This window comes from Homo sapiens, chromosome 17 (genome assembly GCF_000001405.40).
Source record: "Homo sapiens chromosome 17, GRCh38.p14 Primary Assembly".
Lineage (NCBI taxonomy): Eukaryota > Metazoa > Chordata > Mammalia > Primates > Hominidae > Homo > Homo sapiens.
In genome coordinates this window covers 56,697,966-56,700,882 of record NC_000017.11, presented here as the reverse complement: position 1 = coordinate 56,700,882, position 2,917 = coordinate 56,697,966, and the positions used below count along the sequence as shown (strand labels likewise).

Sequence of the window (2,917 nt, the reverse complement as noted above, 5' to 3'; positions counted from 1 at the left end):
CATAGGTGGAAACTGAGCAATGAGAACACACGGACACAGGAAGGGGAACATCACACACCGGGGACTGTTGTGGGGTGGTGGGAGGGGGGAGGGATAACATTAGGAGATATACCTAATGCTAAATGACGAGTTAATGGGTGCAGCACACCAACATGGCACATGTATACATATGTAACAAACCTGCACGTTGTGCACATGTACCCTAAAACTTAAAGTATAATAATAATTAAAAAAAAAAAAAAGAAAAGTGGGCTTCAGAGTTGGGGGAGCTGGAGTCTAATGTCAGCCTACCATCTGTTAGCTCTGTGACCTTAGGCAGCCCATGCCACCTCTCTGAGCCTCAGTATACTTGTCTAGAAGGTGGAAACGATTAGATCTACCTCACAGAACTATTGAGAGGGTTGGATGTGAGAGAAGTTGGCACAAGCCTGGTAAGTAAGAAGCACTCAATAGGTACTGGTTATTATTGTTACCAGTGTGAGATTTTTTTTTTGACCAAATCTCGCTCTGTTGCCCAGCCTGGGGTGCCGTGGTGCAATCTCGGCTCACTGCAACCACTGCCTCCCAGGTTTAAGCTATTCTCGTGCCTCAGCCTCCCCAGTAGCTGGGATTACAGGCGTGCACCTATTTATCATGCCTGGCTAATTTTTGTATTTTTGGTGGAGACAGGGTTTCACCATGTTGGCCACACTGGTCTCGAACTCCTGACCTCAGGTGATCCACCCACCTTTGCCTCCCAAAGTGCTGGGATTACAGGCGTGAGCCACTGCACGTGGCCACCAGTGTGAGATTTTGAGTCCATCTGCATATGGGGTACTGGGAGCAATACAGAAAACCAATGCTTTTAAACACTGCATTCTCAAGGTTTTTTTTTCCAAATGTACAACCTCATAATAATAATTCCAAGGTGTTATAATACTCTCAATTTGGTGATGAGGAAACTGAGGCATAAAGGGAGAAATGAGGACACTTAATGTCACAGCCGGCAAATGGTGAAGCCTGGACTTGAACCCAGGCCTCCTGAGTCCCAGTTCCGGAAAGCAACACAGGCGGCTGCTTTGATCTTCCAAAGCTGCTGTCCAACAATGTGCCAAGAGGAAGACAGAGCAGAGCTGCTCCTCTGGCCCGGCCCCTCCGCCCTGATTGCCGGGTGGCGGGCCTTGCAGGAGGAATTCGAGCGGCTGGCTTGTGCTCATGCCTGAGGAATGTCTTGAGAAGTCGTGCCTAAGCCCTCTGTATCTGACTCATCATCTCCCCGTCTCCAGGAGTGTCAGAGAAGAGCTCCCTTTATCCCTCCTGTCCTCGGTCCCAGGCTTTCATTTGTCAAACTAAAAATATTCCCTCCGGGAACCTCCTTTTGCCAGAGGCTGAACGAGGTATAAGGGGAAAGGCATTTTAGTGTCACTTCCTGACAGCGCCTTGTTATTGTTCCTGGGCCAGAGGAGCAGAGCCGGGTGGCAGGAGCAAGGCGCCTCTGTCATTCTTGGGCCGGGGCCAACCTGTTCACCTTTCTCCTGCAAGCAGCCTTCCCTTTTTCCTCTCTCAAAGCTCCAGACAATAGTCCATCAGTCTGACATGTAGCCTTGTCCCGGTCCCTTGGGGCTGTGTGTGATTCATGCCAGGTGAGGACTACAGAATGCCAACTTCATTTCCTTTGCAGCCTAAGGGCTGGCACAGTTTGCACTTGTCTGCAAGGCTAGTTTACTGATAAAGAGACGTAGAGCTCGAAGGTAAAGGAAAAAAAGGGTAAAACAGATGAAGGTGGAACTCCCCAAGTAGGACAATGGCAATATGGGGAAGCCATCAAGATTTGTCTCCTGTTTCTCTCCTTCCTTTCCTTTCTTCGTTCTGTCACTTCTGGCAGCCTGTTGGCCCCAGGGCTGATCCCAAGAGTCCATGACCTTGACTTGGCCTAAAATCTTGGCTCATAGCCATAGAGCCACCTCCCTGGCCCCACCAGGGAACCCACTTCCTCGGTGGAAATAGAGCATAGTGAAATCAAAGGAGCACAGAATTTGGATCCAGGCCCCCCTTACCAACTAGCTGTGTGAATTTGAGTAAGGTATCTCATTCTCTGAGCCTGTTTCCTCATCTATATGGGTGGATAATAGTACCCATTATACCAGGCTATTGTGAAGAATAAATAAGGTGGTGTGTATAAAATAAGTCATACTATGCCTGTCAAACAGTAGGGTCTTGAATCATCATCACCATCATTGTTCCTCCAAGACCTTGCAATGGTGCCACTGCACCACTGGAATCAGAAGACCTTGTTCTAGTTTCAGCTCTGCCATTAACCAGCTGTATGGCTCCAGGCAAATCCCCTAATGTCTCGGAATCACATGTATTAATTTGTAAAATAAAGAAGAATTTAGGCTTGATTTCCTCTAAGATGCTTCTAAGATCTAAAGTCTGTGGTCATCGAGATACCTGAGAGTAGACATTCATGGAAAATTTCATTCTTTTAAAGAATATAAGAATAACCTTAGTCTAGGCAACATAACAAAACCCCATCTCTAAAAAAATACAAAAATTAGACAAGCATGGTGGCACGTGCCTGTACTTTCCGCTACTCAGAAGGCTGAGGTGGGATGATCACTTGAGCCCAGGAGGCAGAGGCAGTAAGTTGAGATTGCACTACTGTACTCTGGCCTGGGTGACAGAGTGAGACCCTGTCTCAAAAAAAAAAAAAAAGAGTAAATTGGCCAGGTGCAGTGGGTCCTGCCTGTAATCTCAGCACTTTGGGAGGCTGAGGTGGGACGATCAATTGAGCCCAGGAGGCACAAGCAGTAAGTCGAGATCACACTACTGTGCTCTGGCCTGGGCACTTTGGGAGGCTGAGGTAGGAGGATTGCTTGAGCTCAGGAGTCCAAGACCAGCCTGGGCAACATAGGGAGACTCTGTTTCTACAAAAAAT

At 47.8% G+C, this 2,917-nt stretch overlaps 4 annotated features.

The window, feature by feature from the left end:
- Positions 207–1,183: an enhancer, noted in NCBI's record as "H3K27ac-H3K4me1 hESC enhancer chr17:54777061-54778037 (GRCh37/hg19 assembly coordinates)". NCBI's record gives its function as "activates a minimal SCP1, AML or CMV promoter by ChIP-STARR-seq in naive H9 embryonic stem cells {active_cell/tissue: H9 hESC(naive)}" and the evidence as "EXISTENCE:reporter gene assay evidence [ECO:0000049][PMID:30033119]".
- Positions 207–2,160: a biological region, named in NCBI's record as "CDK7 strongly-dependent group 2 enhancer GRCh37_chr17:54776085-54777284".
- Positions 960–2,159: an enhancer, noted in NCBI's record as "CDK7 strongly-dependent group 2 enhancer chr17:54776085-54777284 (GRCh37/hg19 assembly coordinates)". NCBI's record gives its function as "activates an origin of replication core promoter dependent on BRD2, BRD4, P300/CBP, MED14 and CDK7 cofactors, with strong dependence on CDK7, by STARR-seq in HCT116 cells {active_cell/tissue: HCT116}" and the evidence as "EXISTENCE:reporter gene assay evidence [ECO:0000049][PMID:35650434]".
- Positions 1,184–2,160: an enhancer, noted in NCBI's record as "H3K27ac-H3K4me1 hESC enhancer chr17:54776084-54777060 (GRCh37/hg19 assembly coordinates)". NCBI's record gives its function as "activates a minimal SCP1, AML or CMV promoter by ChIP-STARR-seq in naive H9 embryonic stem cells {active_cell/tissue: H9 hESC(naive)}" and the evidence as "EXISTENCE:reporter gene assay evidence [ECO:0000049][PMID:30033119]".